The sequence below is a fragment of the Homo sapiens genome, chromosome X (assembly GCF_000001405.40).
Source record: "Homo sapiens chromosome X, GRCh38.p14 Primary Assembly".
In the NCBI taxonomy this organism is placed as follows: Eukaryota; Metazoa; Chordata; class Mammalia; order Primates; family Hominidae; genus Homo; species Homo sapiens.
Genome location: NC_000023.11, coordinates 138,239,123 through 138,265,719, shown reverse-complemented (window position 1 = coordinate 138,265,719; position 26,597 = coordinate 138,239,123). Strand labels below are relative to the sequence as shown.

The window sequence follows — 26,597 nt, the reverse complement described above, 5'->3', positions numbered from 1 at the left end:
AGTCATTTCTTCTCGTCTGTCAGACATAATTCCTCAGTTCAGCCTTCCCACCTCTATACAGTCTGATAACAGACCAGCCTTTATTAGTCAAATCAGCCAAGCAGTTTTTCAGGCTCTTAGTATTCAGTGAAACCTTTATATCCCTTACAGTCCTCTGTCTTCAAGAAAAGTACAACGGACTAAAGGTCTTTTAAAAACACACCTCACCAATCTCAGCCACCAACTTAGAAAGGACTGGACAATACTTTTACCACTTTCCCTTCTCAGAAGTCAGACCTGTCCTCAGAATGCTACAAGGTACAGCCCATTTGAGCTCCTGTATAGACGCTCCTTTTTATTAGGCCCCAGTCTCATTCCAGACACCAGACTAACTTAGACTGTGCCCCAAAAAAACTTGTCATCCCTACTATCTTCTGTCTAGTCATACTTCTATTCACCATTCTCAACTAATCATACATGCCCTGCTCTTTTTTACTCTGCCGGTTTACACTGTTTCTCCAAGCCGTCACAGCTGATATCTCCTGGTGCTATCCCCAAACTGCCACTCTTAACTCTTGAAGTAAATAAATAATCTTTGCTGGCAGGACTATGCTGAATCTCCTTAGGCACTCTCTAATCAGATGTCCTGGGTCCTCCCAATTCTTAGTCCTTTAATACCTGTTTTTCTCCTTCTCTTATTCCGTTTAGTTTCTCAATTCATACAAAACTGTATCCAGGCCATCACCAGTAATTCTGAATGACAAATGTTTCTTCTAACAACCCCACAATATCACCCCTTACCAGAAAATCTTCCTTCAGCTTAATCTCTCCCACTCTAGGTTCCCACGACGCCCCTAATCCTGCTCCAAGCAGCCCTGAGAAACATCGCCCATTATCTCTCCATACCACCCCCAAAACATTTTCACCGTCTCAACACTTTACCACTATTTCGTTTTATTTTTCTTATTAATATAAGAAGACAGGAATGTCAGGCCTCTGAGCCCAAGCTAAGCCATCATATCCCCTGTGACCTGCAGATACACATCCAGATGGCCGGTGCCTGCCTTAACTGATGACATTCCACCACAAAAGAAGTGAAAATGGCCTGTTCCTGCCTTAACTGATGACATTGTCTTGTGAAATTCCTTCTCCTGGCTCATCCTGGCTCAAAAGCTCCCTCACTGAGTACCTTGTGACCCCCACTCCTGCCAGAGAACAACCCCCCTTCTTCCTTTACCTACCCAAATCCTATAAAACGGCCCCACCCCATCTCCCTTCGCTGACTCTCTTTTCGGACTCAGCCCACCTGCACCCAGGTTAAATAAACAGCTTTATTGCTCACACAAAGCCTGTTTGGTGGTCTCTTCACAGGGATGTGCATGAAATTTGGTGAAAAGGGGGGTTGTTCTCTGGCGGGCAGGAGTGGGGGTCACAAGGTACTCAGTGGGGGAGCTTTTGAGCCAGAATGAGCCAGGAGAAGGAATTCCACGAGACAATGTCATCAGTTAAGGCAGGAACAGGCCATTTTCACTTCTTTTGTGGTGGAATGTCATCAGTTAAGGGAGGAACCTGCCATCTGGATGTGTATGTGCAGGTCACAGGGGATATGATGGCTTAGCTTGGGCTCAGAGGCCTGACATTCCTGTCTTCTTATATTAATAAGAAAAATAAAATGAAATAGTGGTAAAGTGTTGGGACAGTGAAAATTTTGGGGGGTGGTATGGAGAGATAATGGGCGATGTTTCTCAGGGCTCCTTCGAGTGGGATTAGGGGCGGCGTGGGAACCTAGAGTGGGAGAGATTAAGCTGAAGGAAGATTTTCTGGTAAGGGGTGATATTGTGGGGTTGTTAGAAGAAACATTTGTCATTTAGAATTATTGGTAATGGCCTGGATACAGTTTTGTATGAATTGAAAAAGTAAATGGAATAAGAGAAGGAGAAAAACAGGTATAAAAGATCTAAGAATTGGGAGGACCCAGGACATCTGATTAGAGAGTGCCTAAGGAGATTCAGCATAGTCCTGCCAGCAAAGATTATTTATTTACTTCAAGAGTTAAGAGTGGCAGTTTGGGGATAGCACCAGGAGATATCAGCTGTGACGGCTTGGAGAAACAGTGTAAACTGGCAGTGTAAACAAGAGCAGGGCATGTATGAGTAGTTGAGAATGGTGAATAGGAGTATGACTAGACAGAAGATAGTAGGGATGACAAGTTTTTTTGGGGCACAGTCTAAGTTAGTCTGGTGTCTGGAATGAGACTGGGGCCTAATAAAAAGGAGCGTCTATACAGGAGCTCAAATGGGCTGTACCTTGTAGCATTCTGAGGACAGGTCTGACTTCTGAGAAGGGAAAGTGGTAAAAGTATTATCCAGTCCTTTTTACGTTGGTGGCTGAGCTTGGTGAGGTGTGTTTTTAAAAGACCATTAGTCTGTTGTACGTTTCTTGAAGACAGAGGACCGTAAGGGATATAAAGGTTTCACTGAATACTAAGAGCCTGAAAAACTGCTTGGCTGATTTGACTAATAAAGGCTGGTCTGTTATCAGACTGTATAGAGGTGGGAAGGCTAAACTGAGGAATTATGTCTGACAGAAGGGAAGAAATGACTGCGGTGGCCTTCTCAGACCCTGTAGGAAAGGCCTCTACCTATCCAGTGAAAGTGTCTACCTAGACTAAGAGGTATTTTAGTTATCTGACTCAGGGCATGTTGAGTAAAGCTAATTTGCCAGTCCTGGGTGGGGGCAAATCCTCAAGCTTGATGTGTAGGGAAGGGAGGGGGCCTGAATAATTCCTGAGGAGTAGTAGAATAGCAGATGGAACACTGAGAAGTTATTTCCTTGAGGATAGATTTCCACAATGGAAAGGAAATGAGAGGTTCTAAGAGGCGGGCTAGTGGCTTGTAGTATAGCATAACCAGCCTTTGCTGGTGTGTGGTGATTAGGCCTGGTGGAACCGCCATCAATAAATCAAGCGTGATCAGGGTGAGGAACAGGAAAGAAGGAAATATGGGGAAATGGGGTGAATGTCAGGTGGATCAGAGAGATACCGTCATGAGGGTCAGGTGTGGCACCCAGAATAATGTGGGAGGTCAGATTGAAGTCTGGGCCAGGAACAATGGTAATTGTGGGACTTAACAAAGAGTGAGTACAGCTGAAGGAGCCGGGGAGCAGAAAGTATATGCGTCAGATATGAGGAAGAAAATAGATTTTGGAAGTTATGAGAAATGTAGAGAGTCAGTTGAGCATAGTTTGTGATTTTTTAGGGCCTCTAAAAGTATTAAAACAGCGGCAGCCGCTGCATGGAGACATGAGGGCTAGGCTAAAACAGTAAGGTCAAGTTGTTTGGACAGAAAGGCTACAGGGTGTGGTCCTGGCTCTTGTGTAAGAATTCTGACCACACTAACCATGCCTAGGAAGGAAAGGCGTTGTTGTTTTGTAAGGGATTGAGGTTTGGGAGATTAATTGGACATGATCAGCTGGGAGAGCACGTGTGTTTTTATGAGAATTATGCCGAGATAGGTAACAGATGGGGATGAAATTTGGGCTTGACTGAAGTAATGGGGGCTGTCTGTGAAGGCTTGCAGCAGTACAGCCCAGGTAATTTGCTGAGCCTAATGGGTGTCAGGGTCAGTCTAAGTGAAAGCAAAGAGAGGCTGGGATGAAGGGTCCAAATAGTAAAGAAGGCATGTTTGAGACCCAGAACAGAATAATGGGTTGTAGAGGGAGGTATTGAGGATAGGAGAGTATATGGATTTGGCACCATGGGGTGGATAGGCAAAACAATTTGGTTGATAAGGTGCTGATCGTGAACTAACCTGTAAGCCTTGTCTGGTTTTAGGACAGGTAAAATGGGGGAATGGTAAGAAGAGTTTATAGGCTTTAAAAGGCCATGCTGTAACAGGCGAGTGATAACAGGCTTTAATCCTTTCAAAGCATGCTGTGGGATGGGATCTTGGCATTGAGCTGGGTAAGAGTGATTTGGTTTTAATGGGATGGTAAGGGGTGCATGATCAGTCGCTAAGGAGGGAGTAGAGGTGTCTTATATTTGTGGGTTAAGGTGGGGAGATACAAGGGGAGGATGTGAAGGAGGCTTTGAACTGGGGGAAAAGGTGGCAATGAGGTGTGGCTGTAGCCTAGGAATAGTCAGGGAAGCAGATAATTTAATTAAAGTGTCTCAGCCTAATAAGGGAACTGGGCAGGTGGGGATAACTAAAAAGGAGTGCTTAAAAGAGTATTATCTAAGTTGGCACCAGAGTTGGGGAGTTTTAAGAGGTTTAGAAACCTGGCTGTCAATACCCACAACAGTTATGGAAGCAAGAGGAACAGGCCCTTGAAAAGAAGGTAATGTGGGGTGGGTAGCCTCCGTATGGATTAAGAAGGGGACGGACTTACTTTCTACTGTGAGATTTACTCAAAGCTCGGCATCCGTGATGGTCTGGGGGCTTCCGAGGTGATCGGGCAGTGTCAGTCTTCAGCCGGTAAGCCAAGAAGATCTGGGAAGGAGTCAGTCAGAGAGCCTTGGGCCAGAGTTCCAGTGGCCTGGTGAGTTGAACAGTCTGATTTTCAGTGGGGTCCTACACGTATGGGATACGGCTTAGGAGGAATCTTGGGCTTTGGGCATTCCTTGGCCTAGTGGCCAGATTTCAGGTACTTATAGCAAGTTCCTGGGAAAGGAGGTTCTGGAGGAACCCCTGACAGCTGTGATTCAGGCGTTTGGAGTTCTTGTGTGCTGGAGCTGTGGCTGGGGTTTGTCTCACAGTGGAGGCAAGGAATTGCAACTCAGAAATACGTCGCTACTTGGCTGCCTCTACTCTATTATTGCACACCTCGAAGGTGAGGTTAATTAAGTCCTGCTGTGGGGTTTGAGGGCTGGAATTTAATTTTTGGAGTTTTATTTAATGTCAGGAGCAGATTGGGTAATAAAATGTATATTGAGAATAAGACGGCCTTTTGAATTTTTAGGGTCTAGGGCTGTAAAGCGTCTCAGGGTTGCTGCCGAACGAGCCATGAACTGGGCTGGGTTTTTCATATTTGATGAAAGAGCCTAAATGCTAACTGATTTGGGAGAGGTCAGATAAAGAAAAAGGAGCATTTAACCTTGACTATGCCTTTAGCTTCAGCCACCTTTTTAAGAGGAAATTGCTGGGCAGGTGGGAGAGGGCTAGTCACAGAATGAAACTGTAAACCAGACTGTGTGTGAGGAGGGAAGGTGATAAAAAGATTATAGGGTGGAGGAGCAGAGGCTGAGGAAGAATTGGGACCTAGCTCGGCCTGGCGAGGAGCAGCCTGGGGAGGAGGGGAGAGGTCAGATGGTTCTGTAGAAAAGGAAGATTAGAAAGACTCAGTGATGGTTGGGGTTGGGAATGAGGGGACAGGCAGAAGGGAAAGAAGGAAGATTTGGGACGAGTTGCACTGGGCACAGAGACTAGGGAGGGACCGATGTGTAAAAGAATGCCTGGACATCAGGCACCTCAAACCGTTTGCCTATTTTACGACAAGAATTATTTAGGTCTTGCAGGATGGAAAAATTGAAAGTGCCATTTTCTGGCTATTTGGAACTACTGTCGAGTTTGTATTGTGGTCAAGTAGCATTGCAGAAGAAAATAAGATGCTTAGATTTTAGGTCAGGTGAGAGTTGAAGAGGTTTTAAGTTCTTAAGAACACAGGCTAAGGGAGAAGAAGGAAGAATGGAGGGTGGAAGGTTGCCCATAGTGAAGGAGGCAAGCCCAGAGAAAAGAGAGTAGAGACATGGAGGAAAGGGATTCGGGGGTTCTTACCCTCCAGAAAAGCGGGAAAGGGGTTGGGGCACAGAAATAAGGTGTTGGGGTGCAGACATAAGAGATTGGCGCACGGAAATAAGGGATGGGGGCACAGAGATAAGAGGTCCGGGCATGGAAATAAGGGATTTGGGCACAGAGATAAGAGGTTGGGGTGCAGAAATAAGGGATAGGGCACAGAGATAAGAGGTCAGGGCACGGAAATAAGTGATTGGGGTGCAGAGATAAGAGGTCGGGGTGTGGAAATAAGGGATTGGGGTGCAGAGATAAGAGGTCGGGGCATGGAAATAAGGGATTAGGGATTCTTGCCCCCTAGAAAAGCGGGACTTACCACTAAGGGTGAAGGAGAAGGGGTTGGGGGTTCTTACCCCTCCCCCAGAAAAGCAGAGAAGGGGTAGAGACACGGAGAGAAGGGGTTGGGGTACTTGCCCCTTCCCCTAGAAAAGCAGGACTTGCTGCTAAGGGTGAAGGACCATGGCAGGCATCCCTGCGTGGTCTGACACCTCTGAAACGTGGGTGAATAATCAGAGAGGTGTCCCTGCAGTGACTAAACACCAAGGGAAGGCTGCCTTCCCAGTCTGTGACCAGCGCTGGAGTTTTGGGTCCACAGATAAAACATGTCTCCTTTGTCTCTACCAGAAAATGAAAGGAATTGAAATTAAGAGAATGGAGAGATTGAAGTGTGGTGCCAAGATTGAAAGGAGAAAGAGGTTGAGGGATAGTGAGGGAGGTTGGAGAAGAGAGTAAAAAGAAGCCGCTTACCGGATTTGAAATTGGTGAGATGTTTCTTGGGTTGGTCGGTCTGAGGACCTGAGGTCGTAGGTGGATCTTTCTCACAGAGCAAAGAGCAGGAGGACAGGGGATTGATCTCCCAAGGGAGGTCCCCTGATCTGAGTCACGGCACCAAATCTCATGCGTGTCCGTGTGAAGAGACCACCAAACAGGCTTTGTGTGAGCAATAAAGCTTTTAATCACCTGGGTGCAGGTGGGCTGAGTCCAAAAAGAGAGTCAACGAAGGGAGATAAGGGTGGGGCCATTTTATAGGATTTGGGTAGATAAAGGAAAATTACAGTCAAAGGGGGGTTTTTCTCTGGCGGGCAGAGTGGGGGTCACAAGGTGCTCAGTAGGGGAGCTTTTGAGCCAGGAGAAGGAATTTCACAAGACAATGTCATCAGTTAAGGCAGGAACAGGCCATTTTCATTTCTTTTGTGGTGGAATGTCATCAGTTAAGGCAGGCACCGGCCATCTGGATGTGTATGTGCATGTCACAGGGGATATGATGGCTTAGCTTGGGCTCAGAGGTCTGACAGGGATTAAGTCAGAAAAACAGGCAACCACCTGATTATACAGACCCTTCTAAGGAGTTGTCTTTTACTCTGAGTGAGAAAGAAAGATACCAAAGGGTATGAGCAATGAAGTAAAATGTTACACCAAAGGGTCTGATTCAAGTTTTTGGAATAAGGTATTTTTAAAACTTCCTCAAGTTATTCTAATCTGTGTGTTATCGGCTGAGAATCATTGCTTAGCAAGATTACTATGTGTGCATTTTGAGAAGAGATTTGGAGGAAAGGAAGCAAAGGTGGAAACAGGAACACCGGTTAGGAAGCCAATGCTATAATTCAGGCAAAAGTTCATGACGGCTTGGATGAGGTGATTTGAGAATGAGAAATATGAGGGGATCGAAGTGTCCCTGCCAATATTTTGGCTGCTGCAAAGATGGCGAGGTGTCTAGTGCTCTGCCCCTCTGGATTCCTTCTCTCTATAGCTGGACGAGCTGAGTTCTCACCCTACCCCTCAACTCAGCAAGGCCAGAAAATCATTACCAAATAATACGGAGTATTCTGGTAGTCCTGGTTAAACATGTCAGATACTTCAGCATAAAATCTTACTCTAATCTGATGACAAAGTTCTAGAAACTGAACTAAAGCTCTCAGATCGAACATTGATCTGCCTGGTGTCTGGTTAGCCATGTTCTCCAGCTCTAGATCCCTCCTTGCCTGTCCTTCCCTAAAGTCTAATTTATATAATGGCCACTATTTATTGAGCACTCACCCTGGGCTATGTACTGTTCTAATCACCTTATCTTAACTAACTCACCACTAAAACCCTAGGAGGTAACGGCTATAATTATGCCTGTTATAAGATGATGTAATTGAGAAGGAGAGAGTTTAAATAACTTGCCCAAAGTCATACTTTGTTTCTAGACTAGGATTTAAATCTAGGTCTGTATGACTATGAAGACGTGGTTTTAACCATAGTCAGTGTCCAGTTCTAGACACTGACCTTAGGCCGGACCTGGAAAATGCTGAAAAATATATTGACCTTACTGCCTCTCTGAATCTCTGCCCCGTGTCTGCCTTTCCACATGCGCAATGTACCTCTACTTCAACTGTCCTCAACTCCAAGCCTGTTAAGTGAGCACAGGATACCAGCTTTAATGAAGGGACTATATCTGGTTTCTGGGTACCTGCATTTTGGAATGAGGATAAATATGACTATGACCCTCCCCACTCTCAGGGCAGTATGCCTTCTTCCAGAACAGTGAAGTTTGAGTGTCTCAGTTGAACATTTTCATTCCTTTCAGTGGCATTTTCTCCTGATCCCCTGCGGTGTTCAGTTTGCTTGTACCTCTGAAAAGCCAGCAGAATCATTCAGAAAGGACAAAGCCTCTTCCTCTTTGTAGAGCTAAATTTTACACTCTGGAGAATGTGAATTTCTAAAGGTCTTGACAAAGCCAAAACCCTATCAGCACCTTCCATCTTTCAGCATCTCTGACAAATGGAAAATACTTTCCCCAAGGTTTACCCTTCACCTCCCACAGTTTGATTACACAATCAAAGTCTGTGCACATACATCTTTACATATTAACAATGCATTATATGGTGGTTTATCTGTTTTGCAGCTGATAAAATGCATTTGAAGAGGGAGCTCCTTACTGTCCTCCAAGTGCCTAGGATTGAAAAATAATCTTGGGTAGTTCCAGAACTAGCTGAGTATGTGAGCACATAGAATGCTGGGAAATGCAAGCTGAGCACCATCAAATGATTTATTGAAAACAGCCCTACAGACAAATTAAAAATTGTTCATATAAAATATGAGCAAGGAAAAGTGATTGTAATATAAACTATTAAGAAAACTGGGAGAGGATCTAATTTGTATCTGATATGCGGCATTAAAATGTGATTTATAGATGGATTTTGTAAAGTCCTAAGTTTACTCCTGCTGTAAATATATGGAGAAAGAATCCATTTTTTCCTGCATAAGAAAGAGTGCTCATATGGAAGGGTCACTGTGGTGTTTGTTCAAAAAGCTGCTCTGTGCTTTTTGTTAACAAGTAATGGTTGGATTTTAGAAAATATTTTTACATCTTTTGTCAAAAATTCATGCATGTGTCACAAACCTGATAAAAATCTTTAAGTGTCAAATGAAGTCTGTCACTGGGGTGCCACTTTCTTTGGGGGAGCCAATGCTGGTCTTGGCTGGTTCCTACTGCAGGTGATAGAGATTTGTGGGGTAAGGTTCAGGGAACTGAGACCCTCTGGCTTTCCCTTTAGTAGTCAAGGAAGCTGAGCATATTGGTTAAGGGCTTTCCCTCTTCTGCTCTTTCATAAAAAACAATCTCCAAGCATGTGGTTGGACAAAATGTAATCATTTTGTCATTGGCTGTTTTCTTTTCTTCTGTTACCTCAGGATTTGATGATTCTGGGGACCCTGGAAGATCATTTTCCCTGCAATGGTATATTGTCCCACTACCTTTCAGGATTGTTTTCATCCTACTTTTCTCCACTCCCCCTCTTCCATACCCGAACTAGTAGTTAGTGTGGGCTTAATGAATGCAAATTTATTTCAGTATTTGCCGGAACTAAACAAGGCTAGGAAGACCTATATTTTAACTGACACTGTATTTATAGCAGCTGTAAAGAATGACAGGGCAATACTCAATACTCTGGGAGATAAATTAGCATGGTATTTAAACAGGTTTGAGAATCAGGCAGACCTGGATTCTTATAGGAACTGCATTATTTTAATAGCCCAATTTAGCTTGTACAATTATGATGAAGATTAAATAAGATAATGAATGTAAAATGTTCAGCACCTTCAGCACCATACCTTAAACAGTAATGATAGTGATTATTATTCTGAATAATGCCTTAAAGGTCAGCCTCAGAAATATCTTGCAGCACTGAGCACCTACTGTGTGATAAACATAACATACTCCCTTCTCAAGTTTGTCACAGACTACTAGTGGAGATCACACTTATGTACACGATCTAGAGCATAAGATAGGTAGTGCCAAGTATTACACTGTAGGGGTGGAAAGATATGATCATAAGGCTCATGGATGGCATTCCTATAACAAAATACAGGTGAAAAAGATAAAAGCATGACGTAATTATTTAGCCAGTTTTATGTGACATGGGAGTCTTCAGAATGAAGACCCAAAGATACAGGGAAAACTATCCATTTTTATGCTTAGGTTCAATGAAGAACGGACAGCTGTGTAGAAATATAATTGGGAAGAAAATGATATGATCGAATGCTAGTAAACCGAGAGGTGAAACACAGCAAGGTCAGTTTGTTCAGATTCTCCTCGGTCTCTGGATTGAAACATTTCTTTCTCCTGTGTATGTGGCAAGACCTTTCTGGAATGAGGGTCTTATGACCTATAATCAGACTAGGGTAGGTCAGAGAATTTCTTTATGGCCAGCTCTTAGAAAGGTAGGAGAATGTTAGAATAATAATTTTGTTTTTATGGCTGGCTTTGGGGAAAAGGGATTCTAGTTTCTATGACCCACCTTCAGGAAAAGGAATTCAGGTGTCTATGACTTGCTTCAGGGGAGAATGAGGGGCAGGAGACAAGAGGCCAAGAGACAGTCCGAGAGATCTTTGTTCTGAGACTGCTATTGAGGCCTTCCAACATCCTTTAATGCAAAATACTCCTTTAATGCAAAATACTCAGCATGCCAAAGTGCCATACTTTGGGGTATGGTTTTCTAGGTCCCAAAATACAGTAGTCTCCTCCATCTGTAGTTTCACTCTAAGTGGGTTAGTTACCCACAGTCGCCTGCAGTCTGGAAATATTAAATGGAGAATTCTAGAAATAAACAATTCATGAGTTTTAAGTTGCACAACATTCTGAGTAACATTATGAAATCTCACACTGTTCTACTCTGTCCTGCCTGGGATGTGAATCATCCCATCATCCAGCGGATACTTGCTGTAGATGCTACCTGCCCATCAGTCACTTAATATCTTTCTTGATTATCACATTGAGTGTGCAGGTATCGCAGTACTTGTGTTGAAGTAACCCTTATTTTACTTCATAAGGGCCCTGAAGTGCAAAAGGAGTGATGCTAGCCATTTGGGTGTGCCAAAGAGAAGCCATAAATTCCTCCCTTTAAGTGAAAAGGTGAAATTTCTCAACTTAATAAAGAAAGAAAAAAGATATACGCTGAGGTTGCTAAGATTTATGGTAAGAACAAATATTCTGTCCGTGAAATTGTGAAGAAGGAAAAATAAATTTGTGTTAGTTTTGCTGTGTCACCCTAAACTTAAAAAGTTACTGCCATAGTGCATGATAAGTGCTTAGTTCAGGTGGAATAGACATTACATTTGTAGGTGGAAGCCATGAATAGAAGCATGTTCTGATTGACAGCAACATGTTGCACCAGAAAGCATTGAGCTTATATGAAGACTTCAGCAAGGGATTTCCCAAAACTAGTGACACCAAGCCATTTATGGCAAGTAAAGGATGGTTACGCAGATTCAGGAATAGATTTGGCCTGAAAAAGACATAATTTACTGGAGAGGCTGCATCTGCCAACAAAGAATCTGCTGCCACATTTGGCTGAGTTGAAGAAGTTGATTAAGGAGAAAGGATACCACGCAAAGCAAGGTTTCAATTGCGATGAAGATGCCCAACAGCACTTAACATTCATAAAAGTGCAAAGGAGGCACCAGGGCATAAAACGTGGAAGGGCAAATTAACTCTGGTACTGTATGGCAATGCATATATAGACATCAGTATTATCCACGGTTTCAGGCAACCACTGGAGATATTAGAACTTATCCCTTGTGGATAAGCGGGGACTACTCTATATGAAGAAGTCACAGAAAGAGCTGAAAAGAGAGGGTAAAGGAGGGGAAGGAAGGGGCAGTAAGGGAAGAGGAAAGGCAGCCAGCACCACTTACCAGAGAAAAAATTCATGGAAGAGGCAACAATAGACCTCAACCTTGAAGGATGAATAATGTCTTAGATAATTTGTGGAACATCAAAGGACTGATATCATAATAAATAATTTGGCTCTAGACTATATCTTATAAATTGTTATATGCTCCCATAGTGCCCAGCACAAAGGAGTTGTATTATCAGTATTTGTGGAATGAATGAAAACAGGTTTTAGAGTTTTGTGAGTGGAGAGAAGGGAATTGCATGATGTGAATGGTTATTTTGGATAGGTATAGTGATGACAGGGAGGCATTTCTTCCAATTTAACCTAGTATTCAAATGCACACAACTCCCTCTCATCTGCCCAAGCATTCAGGGGCTCTGGTATTCCTCAACCTGATCACTCCAGGATATATCCACTTCTCATGGAGATTCATTCATTTTGTTCACCACTCCTCATGACCCTGTTTTTCAGAAATATAGTGGCCTGAATAATGATCATCGATGGCTCAAGTATCACTTTTGTTCCTCAAAGGTACTGGGATTTACCCTTGCAATATTTTGTAGGATTCCATCACATATTCTGAAGTCAAAGCTATGGTTGTCCATATGCTTAAGCATTTTCTGTTTAAGAACAATGTCATGGAATTCAAATAGCCATGTCTCTTTTCTCTATCAAATGCCAGATCATGACATTTACCTGCATTGTTGGTTGCTCCTCTTGTTAGAATTACAGGCTTTTGTAAGTGACCTAGAGATCATCTAGCATTCAAACGTATCTTCCTCATTTTACATAAAAAGAAACTGAGGCTCAAAAAGAAAAAAGCTTTTTGCCCAAAGTCATAAGAAGTCATGACAGGACCGAAGCCAGCACATATCTATTTCTCATCCGCTTTTTTTCTTCTTGTATCATGTAATTGGGGTTACTAACATTTTTTCATTCCTCTCGTTAATTCATACTTTTCCCTAACCCAATGCTCACCTATGCCACTGGAATATATCCTGGCAAAATAATCAATTCTAAGATGTTAGTAATGCTATCTGATACTTAGCGCTCCAGTGTGAGAATCTTAATGGCCTCCAAAGCTTGGCTACTGTGGATGTGAATGATCATTTAAGAGCCCCTATTTGCCAAGAGGGCTTCAGAAAATTATTCTTTGGAGATTAGTATAGTTAGCAAACTTGCAAATAGCTGGGTTCAAGATTTAGCTTTGAAACTTAATCTCTAAATGACTGTAGGTAAGTTAGTTAACTTCTCAATGCTCCAGTTTCCTTATCTATAAGATGAAGATGATGAAAATTTATTCAGAGGATTGTCTTGAGAATTAAATATAATAATGTGTGTAAAGAACTCAACAGATGGAAAGGAAGCCCCATCTGTACCTAATATACATAATTTAGATGATGAGATTTTGATCTCTTAGCTGACGAGATTTAGATGAGATTTTGGATTTTCAGCTGACAAGTGGATAAAACTTAGATTTAGATGATGAGACACCAGGCTGATGCTACGATGGGATGAAACTCGTAGGAACATGGTGAATGCATTTTGCACTTAGAAGGGATGTGAGTCATTGGTGGCCAGAGGGAAGACTATGGTTGGCAAAACTCGAAGATGGTCTCCAATATTTCTACCAATTGCTATATAATCCCTCTCCTTGAGTGTGGGCAGAATCTGTGAATATGATGTGTGTCACAACCGTGATTAGGTTATGTTATATGGTAAAGATGAAAAAATACACTTTGTAGATGTACTAAAGTCGTCAATCAGTTTGACTTTGAGTTACTCAAAAGAGAAATTATTCTGGGTGGGTCTGATCTAATCGGAGGAGTCTTTTACAAGAAAGTATAGAAATCAGAGACAGAAGAAATTTCTCTCTTGCCTCCCATGCTTCCCAGCAGACTTGACCTTTCATGACTTTTTAAAAGTGTCTCTGGTGTCTAAGGACCCAGCCCTGCTCTGTCTGAACTCTACTTAGAGGTAGAACCCTACAGAGTTCTACTTGGAGGTCATAGCTTTCTCCAAGCAGCTCTGTCCCTGTAGCCACAGCTACTCAAAGGTTGATGCTAAATATTTTATTCTGGAAGACTGTTCTCTACCTTCCCTACAGTAAGGCGTTAGAGTCCCTCTAGCTATCCTAGCATTAAGCAGCTCTAATTAAGTACCTTGGAGACAAGATGTCATCCTCTACTCAGCGACTTTCAGTGGCATTGTTGACAATTTCATAATAGGTATGTCATGGAGGAGTGACAACTCCTAAGGGTGCTGTCCTATTACTTCAATACCTATTCTCTAGTGTCTCAAAGTAAGTACGACACAGTATGGGCCATATGTTACTCTTAGTGTTTTCAGGAGCCTGTATGGTCTTGGGCTGAAGCTAGTGGTTGGATCTTCTCCATCCGATTCAGAAGACACAGACTAAAGGCATGATATAGGCAGCACTACAGACTATATAGAGAGTGCTGACTTCTCAATTGGCCTCAGAGCTCCACAAGCAGGCTTATTACTGAAAATAAAGAAATTCAGGCTTACTCAATTAGGTTAATTAACTTAATCAAGTGGCAGAGCCAGGTGAGTCAGACTCTAAACCCCATGTCTTTAACTATATAATCATTATAGTGTGCAACCTGCTCTTTTGGGTTATGGAAAATTTGGCCCAGGAATTTGGAGATTTAATTCTGCTAGTAACGACATCATTAATTTACTGTGCATTTATGCACATTTTGGGGAAGTTTTGTCACTCTGTGAATCTCAATTTTCCCATCAGTAAAAATGTGGGAAAGGAGGAGACTGCTATGTAAGATGACCTTCAAGGGGAAATTCCAGCTCTGCTGTTCAAATATTTTATCAAATATACATTGAGTCTTCAAGTTTTCCTGCCTATATTGGAGTATTGTGCTTTGTTATCGTAACTGCTCAAGGACCCAAGGTTATTACTAATTTTACTCTGTAGAATATGTTAATGAGACAGTGGAAATTGATGGTTTATCTCAGGTTGTGATGTATTATTTGTTGTTCAATCAATACATATTTGCTTAGTGACTATTCTGTCCAAAACAATAGATTTAGTGCTGTGGGGAATTCAGAGGAGTAGAGGAAATATCACCTGCTCTCCTAAAACTCAGTACTAAACAGGATATGAGAATCAACTTTATATCTACACTCTAAGGCAGCAACACATAAGAAACATAGGATAAATAATAGGGAAATCAGCTGGGGCAGTGGCCAATGCCTTGGTGGCTTAAGATGCTTGAGATCTGGATTCTAGACACACCTTAAGTCATCAATTTACTGTGTTATTGTTGCAGGACACTTCTCACTGGACTTCATCTTTCTTTCTTTCTTTCTCTTTCTCTTTCTTTCTTTCTTTCTTCCTTCCTTCCTTCCTTCCTTCCCTCCCTCCCTCCCTCCCTCCTTCCTTGCTTCCTTCCAAGAGGTAAGGCCTTTCTCTGTCACTGAGGCTAGAGTGCAGTAGCTGGATCATATCTAACTACAGCCTCAAACTCCTGGGTTCAAGTGATTCTCCCACCTCAACCTCCCCAGTAGCTGGGACTACAGGCACACACCACCACATCCAGCTAATTTTTGTATTTTTGTAAGGATGATGTCTCACTGTGTTGTCCAGGCTGATCTTGAACACCTGGCCTCAAATGATTCTCTTCCCTTGAACTCAAAAATTGTTGGGATTACAAGAGTCAGCCACCACCCCCAGCCCAAGGGCCTGATTTTCTAAACAGTGAGAAACTTGGGCTAGATAATACTTGAAGGAATTTACAGTGTTGCCATTATGGGATTCTAGAAGATGAGATAGATCATTGTCTTAGTCAGTTCAGGCTGCTAAAACAAAGTACCATAAACTGGGGAGCTTATAAATAACATAAATTTATTTCTCACAGCTCTGGAGATTGAAAGTCTGAGATCTGGGTGCCAACATGGTCAGATTCTGGGGTGGGCTCTCTTCCAGGATGCAGAGAGGCAACTTTTCCTTGTGTCCTCCTCACATGGCAGAAAGAGAGCGAGCTAGTTCTCTGGCCTCTTATTATAAGGGCAATAATCTCATTCATAAGGGCCCCACCCCACCCTCATGAACTAATTACCTCTCGTTTGGCCTTACCTTCAAATATGATCCAATTGGGATTAGGGTTAGACACATGAATTTTAGGGGTACACAAACATTCAGCTTATTGCAATAGTTTTTGGTGAAGAATGGAAAAAAGTTATTGAATTCAGCCTTGTATTCCTAACATTGTTACTGGGCATAAGGGTAGATGGAGCAAGTGGGGGTTATATTAGGCTGCAATGGATGGAAAGAATATCAATAAATGGTAAGAATGAGTGAAAGAACTACATTTCAATTTAGATGACAGCATGAGTACAGAGATGGCAAATGGAGCATTTTGGCCATTTCAAATTGGTGGAGTGAAGGAGGTCCTTTGGAGATGAACACAATACAAAGTTTTAAAGGAAGTCAGGGACAAGATTGTGAAGGACCTTGACTGCCAAAATAAGTAATTGACTTTTACTTTACTAAAGGTACTGAGAACCACAGTAGGTGTTAGTTGGTTGGTTGGTTGGATGGTTGGATTAAAGTAGGGCAGTGGTATGATGAAAGTGGTATTTAGGAAAGAAGGCACTGATACTTGTGTGGAGGATAAAATAAAGGTGGATAAGACTAGAGGCAGAGGTGCCAACAGTAAATATGAGCAATTACGAGAGGCTGTTATATGGCAGGGGCAGTGAAGATGAAGATAAAAGAATGGAGTATTTTTTAGAGTCACTGTGAAGGGAAACTTAACAAGATCTGAAGAATGACTGGATAAGGAGAATGAGGAAAATAAATAAAGCAAAGAAAATGCAGAATTTATCTCAGTGGCACCTGGAAAATGAATATTTCACAGAAAGAGAAGTCAAGGGAAATAACAGACCTGAAGGCACAGGGAAGTATATTTTGAGACTCACTAACTTTGAGGGCTAGCAATACATCCATACCCAATAAGTAATCCAGAATGTTGAACTGAGAGTTGTGAGTGAGGTATAAGCTAGAGCTGAAGATGGAGGGTTTACTAATGGATAGATAGTGATTAAAACTATGATGATAGCTGAAACACTTGACAGAGTGTGTAGGTATAAAAAAGAAGACTAAAGATAGAAATGTGGGTAAACGACCAAATTTAAGGACAGAAAAAGACTGGTTTCCTCTTCTTTGGTCTTCCACATACACCCTGGCCCTCTCTTTACTGGCTTTTTATTCTCTGCCCACAAACATGTTCCAATCATCCACATTTTAGAGGTAACCTCCTTCTTGACTCTTGCTTTCTCCCATTTCCTTTCTCTTTCATCTAGATATATCTCAGGCTTTCAACATGCCTTTTAATTCTCAGCCTCCTGCATTATGGTCTTCTGATCTAAAAAAACTTCTAGAAACAATTCTCACTGAGATCCCCAATGATCTCATGTTACCAAATTTGATGGCATTTTTTCTCAGTTCCATCCTCCTCAACCTCTGAATAGTTTGATGCTATTGATCCTCTACTCTTTCTTGAAACATGCTCTTGCCTTACATTTTGATTTCTTCTATTCTACTCAGGATTACTTCAAATAATCTACAAACATTGAGTGAGAAAGAGAGGTGGTAATGAGGATATATGCCAAGTGTAACCATGTGAGGAAATTGCAGCTGTAAGATAGAAGACCAAAGCTAAAGTAAAAGAAATATCCTTATTTTTAATATATTTTTAATTGTAGGCTTGGAAGTGTGGGAGTAAGCTTTGTGCTTGACTGCACCTAGAAATATATAGACACATCATTCATGGATGCAATTGACTCCTTTCTGTATTTTACCCCTGATAAATACTAAGTGGCTGCCTACCTTTTCTCCTATCACTCAAATTGGCAGGTGGAAAGATTTGAAATCACAGGCAAGAGACATGAACAGTCTCTCCAAGAAGAGCAGAGTGAATTTACCATTGTTTTACACAGCTTATTTTGTCTGTTTTCTGAGAAGATATGTTAAAGGAAAGAGTCACCAATTACTAATTTTCTTATGACCAAAAGTATAAGGGCATGGAGGTAGAGGATTATTTCTGGACAAATAAGAGACATCTGTTCTTCTGAGAAAAAGAGGTGAGTATGGGTGTGGAAGCAAATTTATAAGAGCTGGAAGTTGAGAGTAGCAAGTCAGAAAGCCTTTATTTTCTCAGGGAAAGAAAAGGCAAGGTCACATGTTAAGAGGGATTGAGGGCAGACAGGGGGCATCTGGTTCAACATGGTAGGCTGGGCATCTGGAAAGCCCATGAAAATTAGCTCTATAATTAAAATCATTAAAATATTAAATAGGTATGAATATTCAACACCAACAAGACGAGAAAAAGGACCATCAGTGGATAAGAAAGAACAAGTTTCTGGAAGACAGCAGTTTAAAAAAATTGGCAGCTGTTGTAGGACAGAGGAAAACACAGCTTAGAATTTGTGCAGAGGCAGCTGCAGCTTAGGTAGGAACTTATCTGTTTGCCAATACCATAGAAAGGGTCTGGACTGGGAGATGTCAAAGGACTCCTGCCTAATGGCAGCTCTCTGCTCACTTACCAAAGGCAAAGCCAGCCGGGTGATAAGCCCCAAATCCCATATGCCTTGAGTTTCCAGTCAGTTTTTCTATTACTTTTTTAATATTAATGCAAAACCAAAGGTCAATGGGTGTTGAGAAAAGCATGCAATATGAATAAGAAAGACAAAATATGCAAATTTTTTAAAAGGCTAGCAACCAGATAATTCAAGAAACAGAAGATTTACAGGGTGTTATGGAAAGGGAATGGTCAGACAGCAAAAAAAGCATTCTAAAAATAAAATAATTGTCAAAATATTGCATTTAATAAGAAGATTAGAAGATAAACTTGATACAGTTTCCCAGAAAGTTGAATACAAAAGAACAAAAATGATAATAGCAATGTCCACCATTTAATATTATGCTTGCTCTGAGGCAGGCAGTTCTCAGGACCCATCTAGGTCCACTGCTTAGGGTCTCTCAAAGCTGAAATCAAGCTGTTGGTCAGTTGGGCTATAATTATGAAGCTCTAGGAATAATCTGCTTCCAATCTCATTTATATAATTGGCAGAATTTAGTCCCTTGAGACTGTAGGACTGAAGTCTCCATTTTCTTTTTAGTTGTCAGCCTGGGATTATTTTCACCTTCTAGAGATTGATCACATTTCTTGATACATGCTCCCCTCCATCTCCAAAGCCAGAAAAGGCACATTGAATCCTTTTCACACTTTAATTCTCTCTAACTTTCCTTTCTGCCACATTATTCTGACTTTTTTTTTCTGCTTTTAAAAGTGCATGTGATTATATTTGCCCCACCCACCAAATAATCCTGAATACTTATTTTTATCTTAAGGTCAGCTGATTAGTAGTCCGAATGACATCTTCAAAGTCCCATTTGCCAAGTAACATAACACAATCACAAGTGTGATACCGGAGGGTAAAGTTCAGGAGCTCCAGAGCACATACTCTGAGCTACTAAACTCTGAGATTTTAAAAAGTCAATCCAGATAAATAAATTCTGGTACTTCCATTAAATAGACTATTACTCAGCAATAACAATGCATTTTTGATATGTGCAACAACATGGATCAACTGTTTTAAAAATTAGCTAAACAAAAGTAGCCAGATACACATTATGTAATCCCATTTATATGACCTCAAGTCAAAGCGATCTATAGTGACAGAAAGCAGATCAGTTGTTGACTGGAGCTGGAGGTGGGGAGAATAACTGCAAAGATGCATGAAAAAAATTATGATCATAAAAATACATTATAGTTTGACTGTGGTGGTGGTGGTTACCTGGGCATATACATTTTGTCAAAACTCACTAAAATGCACACAAAATAAGTGTATATTTCTGTAGCTGAATAATATTTCAACAAAATTGATTTTTAGAAACTCCAACCAGGAGGTCCAACAGCTGACTAAATGGAATTCCAAAATAAGAGAATAGAGAAAATGGAAGGAAGGAAATTGTTCCTGAATAAAATAAATAATAATTTTCCAGAGTGGGAAGGACATAAGTCTTCAGATGAAAAGGGCCCATTTAGTGTTCAAAAACGAAGGAAAAATGACTCCCCTTTGCACAGACATTACTGAGAGATTTCAGAACCACAAAGATAAAGAGAAAATCCTAAAGGCTTTCAGAGATAGAGAATTGGTCACCTATAAAGGAACAAGAATCAGAGTGCCATCAGACCTCCCGTCAACAACATTGGAAACTAAACTACAATGAAGATATATATACAAAGGTCTATGGAAAACTTGAATTTTATCTTATTGACACTATTAGTCAAACCTCACAGTAGAAGAAAGATTTTTTCAGATACATAAGAACTCAGAAAGTATGGCTTTCTAAAACCCATTTTTAGAACATTCCTTGCAGATATAATTCATCAAAATAAGATAATAAATCATAAAAGAGGAAGACATTAGATCTACCCTAGAAGAATAGTAAAGGAGATTCCTAGGATAGCACTGTAGGCCTGAAACAAGACCAATTTATAAAGTCTGAGTTAGAGTGAGTGGGCAGAAGTCTCCCTAGAAACAGAGGAAAACAAATGACCTACATAGGTGAGATCGTATAACTGAAAAGTTGAATGGACTACTGTATTAGTCTGTTTTCACACTGCTATAAAGAACCACCCAAGACTGGGTAATTTATAAAGAAAAGAGGTTTAATTGACTCAGAGGTCTGCATGGCTGGGGAGGAAACTTACAATCATGGTGGAAGGTGAAGATCGTATAACTTCTTCGTATCACAATACGTATAACAATCATGGTGGAAGGTGAAGGGGAAGAAAAACGTCTTACATGGTGGCAGGAAAGAAAGAGTGAGGGGGGAATTGCCACATACTTTTAAATCATCAGATCTCGTGACAACTCACTCACTATCATGAAAACAGCATGGGGAAAACTGACCCCATGATCCAATAGCCTCCCACCAGTTCCCTCCCCTAACATGTGGGAATTACAGTTTGACATGAGATTTGGGTGTGGACACAGAGCCAAACCATATCAACTACTAAAGAGACTGAGGCAGTATAACTCCTAGGAACTCTCCACATGATTGGCCAGGGCTTTAAAATCGATGGTGGGGGAATCAAAATTGACCAGAAGAAGGACAACAGAGACAAAGGTAAAAGGTTTCAGATCAAAATAAGAGAGAGGAGAAAGCCAGGGATTCTCAGAAAGCCAGCCACTATATTTGTGACTACTTCACCAAACAACATAAAATTAATCTAACATAGAAATGAGCAAACCAAAGTTTATCAGAGCCAAATCTCATACAAAGTTATTATATGAAAAAAGAAGCATAACATCCCAGAGACGATGAAAGCATGCCAGAAAGACATGCCCACAAAACAGATCAAAATCATAACTTATTATTTTAAACAAGCTACAAGATATTAAAAAATGAAACAATATGTGAAAGAACAATATATATCATGATTTAAAATGTTCAGAAAGAAAGTGACAGAACTTATGAAAGAATTACAAATAAAAGAAAATAATCATTTGAAAAGCAAAGACTAACTAGGAGGAATAGAGGAATGACTAAACACAACAGTGCCTTTAAAAATAGAAGATAATAAGAAACTTTTAATAAATAAAAAGAATTTTTTCCTTTTTTCCTTCTTTTTTCTTTTTCTCATGATTACAAGACAAAGCATAAACCTTAACTACCTTGACAATATCAAAAGTGAAGAAACAAGCTGACACAGCTGGAGGAAGGGGGTGAGGAGATAAGGGAAGGTTCAGGCCCCTCATCTTAACCAACAAAGTAGAAAGCCAAGAGATTTTGTTTTTGTTAATACATTAATAAATAGAATAGCTTAATCAAGCTATTTGAAGTTGCAGAGATGATCAGGGAAGCCTTCCTTCTCACTGTGGAACTCAAAAAGCTGCCTGAAGCTTCCTTCTGTCCTGCCTTTGCTCCAAATGCCCCAGTCTATCCAGGTGGCTTAAATGCAGACAGCTAGGCTCTCCATCCCAGCACTATTTATTTATTTATGTATTTATTTATTTATTTATTTTTGAGACAGAGTCTTACTCTGTCGCCCAGGCTGGAGTGCAGTGGCAAGATCTCGGCTCACTGTAACCTCCACCTCCCAGGTTCAAACGATTCTCCTTCCTCAGCCTCCTGAGTAGCTGGGACTACAGTTGCATGCCACCACGCCTTGCTAATTTTTGTATTTTTGTATTTTTATTTTTATTTATTTATTGTACTTTAAGTTTTAGGGTACATGTGCACAATGTGCAGGTTTGTTACATATGTATACATGTGCCATGTTGTTGTGCTGCACCCATTAACTCGTCATTTAACATTAGGTATATCTCCTAATGCTATCCCTCCCCACTTCCCCCACCCCACAACAGGCCCCGGTGTGTGATGTTCCCCTTCCTGTGTCCATACGAGGTTACACCATGTTGGCCAGAATGGTCTCGATCTCCTGACCTTGTTATCCACCCGCCTTGGCCTCCCAAAGTTCTGGGATTACAGGTGTGAGCCCCCGTACCTGGCCGCACTTTCCTTTAATTTGTTTATTTATTTTTTATTTTTTAATTTTTTTCCATAAGTTATCGGGGTACAGGTGGTATTTCGTTACATGAGTAAATTCTTTAATGGTGATTTGTGAGATTTTGGTGCACCCATCACCCGAGCAGTATACACTGCACCATATTTGTAGCCTTTTATCTCTCGTCCACCTCCCACTCTTCCCCCCAAGTCCCCACAGTTCATTGTATTATTCTTATGCCTTTGCATCCTCATAGCTTAGCTTCCATATATCAGTGAGAACATATGACATTTGGTTTTCCATTCCTGAGTTACTTAGAGTAATGGTCTCCAGTCTCATCCAGGTCACTGCAAATGCTGTTAATTAATTACTTTTTATGGCTGAGTAGTATTCCATTGTGTGTGTGTGTGTGTGTGTATCATACATATATATATATATATATATATATCTCATATATATGTATATCTGTATACGTATATAGATGTACATCTATATACATATGTAGATATATGTGTATATCATATATATCATGTATATATCTCAGTTTCTTTATTCACTCATTGATTGATGGACATTTGGGTTGGTTCCATGATTTTGCAATTGTGAATTGTGCTGCTATAAACATGCACATGCAAGGATCTTTTTCGAATAATGACTTATTTTCCTCTGGGTAGATACCCAGTAGTGGGATTTCTGGATCAAATGGTAGTTCTACTTCTAGATCTTTAAAAAATCTCCACACTGTTTTCCATAGTGGCTGTACTAGTTTACATTCCCACCTGCAGTGTGGAAGTGTTCCCTGATCACTGCATCCATGCCAACATCTACTGTTGTTGTTGTTCTTGTTTTTTTATTATTATAGCTATTCTTGCAGGAGTAAGGTGGTATCACATTGTGGTTTTGATTTGCATTTCCCTGATCATTAGTGATGTTGAGCATTTTTTCATGTTTGTTGGCCATTTGTATATCTTCTTTTGAGAATTGTCTATTCATGTCCTTAGCCCACTTTTTGATGGAATTGTTTGTTTTTTCTTACTGATTTGTTTGAGTTCATTGTAGATTCTGGACATTAGTCCTTTGTTAGATATATAGATTGTGAAGATTTTCTCTCACTCTGTGGGTTGTCTGTTTACTCTGTTGACTGTTCCTTCTGGCATGCAAAAGCTCTTTAGTTTAATTAGGTCCCAGCTATTTATCTTTGTTTTTATTGCATTTGCTTTTGCATCCCAGCACTTTCAGTCTTACAAAGACTGATCCAAAGACAAAATATATATGACTGGGATTGATCCATGCAAGCAGCAGCACCCTGAGCCCAAATAACTTCTCACCAGGTTCCAGTCTCTTTCCTAACCTAGGTCTACAGCCTCCCATTGAATCTGCAATCACCCTGATATCCTGCCAATAAAGACCTGTATTGCTGCCGTTTAAGTTACCTAGAGAGTTTTTTGATGTTAGTGGTGAGTGGAGATGAGGACAATGAAATAATCCAAATCCAGTACATTCCAGATTTCTTCTGGCCCTTCTCCAGATTATTCAATTAAGAGAAGTTTGGCACAAAGAGAAGTGAGGAGAGTTTCCCAAGTCACACAGTAAGGTAGCAACAGACATGCCAGTTTAATAGATGAAGCAAGCAAGTTTGACTGGGGGAGAGATGGTGACCGGAAAATGTTTTTGAGCTTTCTGCACAGAGGGTGGCAATTTTTAGGCCACTCAACGTGGTATGACATGAGAAGTGCTGAAAGTTCTCCTCCTTCCTAAATTACCTCCTTTCAACCTACTGAAAGGCCTGAACTCCTAACAGACTGAGGCTTTGGAGTGCTGCCAATCCCTGACCTAAGCCATTCAGACAGCCTGCCGGAACACAGTGATGACAAGAAGATGCTAATTATCAGAGATTTTTTTTCATATGCAACATGAAACTTTCCTATTATTGGAGGATTTGCATCAGTTAAATTATGCAGATTCTCAATGATGACAGAATGTGCTCATTTTGATTGGGTTGCACTAATATTGCATGAATATCTTACTTCCTAATTAACAACAAAAATGGAAACCAGAATGAAGCAGGAAATACCTAAAGGAAGGTCAGGAGGAATTCCCTAGTTACATGAAGAATTGAGAAGTAGTAAGTAAGTACAGGTCAAAACAAGAGTGTAAGCCTTGAGAAGGGATCTGCTCTCAGGCTGTCTTCAGGGATGGGAGACATGAAGAGGATGGACATCTGTCAGTTGAGTGTCCACTGTGTATCAAATCTTTTATATATGTCATCTTATTTAATTATCATTATAATCCTATGGGGAGAGGGAGAAGGATTATTATTCCCAGTATCAACATAAGGAAATTGAGGCTCAGAGAGGTGAAGTGACTTCCCAAGCTCAACAACAGGTCAATGGTATGCCCAACTCCAAAGCCAGTGCTACTTCTTATTTGCTATTGGCCGGTGAAGGGCAGGGTGGGGGGTATCTGGAAGGGGAATCCCAGTGTGAACCTAAAAGCCCTGAGGCTTGTTCTCATCCTACTCCCTGACCTGCAGAGCAAAGGAAGTGCTGAGTAAGGCTGTTTTTTTTATATTCATTTTAATCTAAAGTGTTTTACAGATATTAGATGCTGTGGAGGATAAAAAGCCATGGCAGGCCTTTTGAAAAATGTGGCTGTATTATCTACTTAGTAGAAGCCTCTCTGCACATCAGAATTGCCTTTCACTGAATAGGGTAGGGGAGAGAAAGCAAGTGCAGACGTTCCCTGTAAATTGTTCTCAGGCCTTTAAGCTTTAGAGAAGATTGTTTGTTCTTGGGTTGGGCTAGGGAAGATGGATGGCCATTACTGCACTCTGGCTGCCTTGCATCCTGGCTGAGAAGATTACATGTCTGAGTATAGTGTCTGTCCATCTTATTTTTTTCCCAAAAGCGTTAGACTTTGTATAACTGAAAATACAGTAATCTCTCCACAGTCACAGGGTTATGTTCCTGACAAAGGGAGTGAATTCAGAATCTAATAGAGAAACACAATACGTTGTTTCAGAAGAGCTCAACTCAAGGAGATTGGGAAGAGGGTGGCGGCAGGGCTCTAGGGCTTCCTTCCCACTCTGATGATTTGAGGGCAGATATAGTGGTAGACTGTGAGCCTCATTAGTGCTGGGAGCCTATAGTACATGAATTTACTCACCACTCCATGTCCAGCAGTTAGCACATGGCCTTGAAACATCATTGGCGATTAGTAAGTTTGTTGTACAGATGAAGGAATTCCCGGTCATCTTGTGATACATACTAGATTATTAATTACTCAAAAACAGTGATACATCTTATTTGTCTTTGGATTTCCCATGCCTAGCATAACATAGGTTCTTTTTTTAAGAAAATTATTTGTATAAATTTAAAGGGTACAAGTGCAATTTTATTACATGGATCTATTTTGCAGTCCTGAAGTCTGGGTGTTTAGGGTAACCATCAGCAGCATAGGTTTTTGATAAATGTTGGATGAAAAAACATTCCGCCAGAAAATCTGAGGCCATTCCACTCCTCAACTAAATCCATCCATGTCTATCACCTGAACCTTTCTGCCTGTGCTCTGGGACTCCACTTTTCTGTCCAGTGTTCTCTGATATGCTTTTCATTTAGTAGCTTCATAGAAAGCCAAATTTAACCCAGGGCTGCCAGCCATTGACAAGAAATGGAAAAGAGTTTTCTAAACCCAGAGTTTCATCACCGAAGAAAAACTGAATTTGCTGAAAGTCTATCTTTGCTATGCAGAGCAGGCTTTCCAATTGGAGAAATGCATACTGGATAAGGAGGTACCTTTTGTGAACACCGAAGTGTACTCCCAACTTGATGCCTCTATTTGCATTTGATAGCCTGATTTACATGTTTGTGTGTGCTGTGCCATGTCCTTCAAAGGACGTTAGGGCTTTGGCTGGATGCTGCTACAACCTAAAACCACTGGTAACATTTTTTAGCCACTGGTAACATTTTAAACGGCATATTGAATCAGCCTGGCCATGGGAAAATGTGTGGTTATCTGTGGTTTTTGGTAAGTTAGTCTCTCTATACCTCACTGTTTTGTCTGTTAAATGTGAATAATAATATTTAAATCTTACATAACTTTTAAAATAATTTAATAAA

At 40.9% G+C, this 26,597-nt stretch overlaps 4 annotated features.

Moving 5' to 3' along the window:
* Positions 361-1,068: an enhancer, noted in NCBI's record as "OCT4-NANOG-H3K27ac hESC enhancer chrX:137346811-137347518 (GRCh37/hg19 assembly coordinates)". NCBI's record gives its function as "activates a minimal SCP1, AML or CMV promoter by ChIP-STARR-seq in naive H9 embryonic stem cells {active_cell/tissue: H9 hESC(naive)}" and the evidence as "EXISTENCE:reporter gene assay evidence [ECO:0000049][PMID:30033119]".
* Positions 1,069-1,778: an enhancer, noted in NCBI's record as "OCT4-NANOG-H3K27ac hESC enhancer chrX:137346101-137346810 (GRCh37/hg19 assembly coordinates)". NCBI's record gives its function as "activates a minimal SCP1, AML or CMV promoter by ChIP-STARR-seq in naive H9 embryonic stem cells {active_cell/tissue: H9 hESC(naive)}" and the evidence as "EXISTENCE:reporter gene assay evidence [ECO:0000049][PMID:30033119]".
* Positions 1,236-1,530: a silencer, noted in NCBI's record as "tiled region #1368; K562 Repressive non-DNase unmatched - State 24:Quies". NCBI's record gives its function as "represses a minimal TATA promoter and a strong SV40 promoter by Sharpr-MPRA in K562 cells {active_cell/tissue: K562}" and the evidence as "EXISTENCE:reporter gene assay evidence [ECO:0000049][PMID:27701403]".
* Positions 6,682-7,230: an enhancer, noted in NCBI's record as "OCT4-NANOG hESC enhancer chrX:137340649-137341197 (GRCh37/hg19 assembly coordinates)". NCBI's record gives its function as "activates a minimal SCP1, AML or CMV promoter by ChIP-STARR-seq in naive H9 embryonic stem cells {active_cell/tissue: H9 hESC(naive)}" and the evidence as "EXISTENCE:reporter gene assay evidence [ECO:0000049][PMID:30033119]".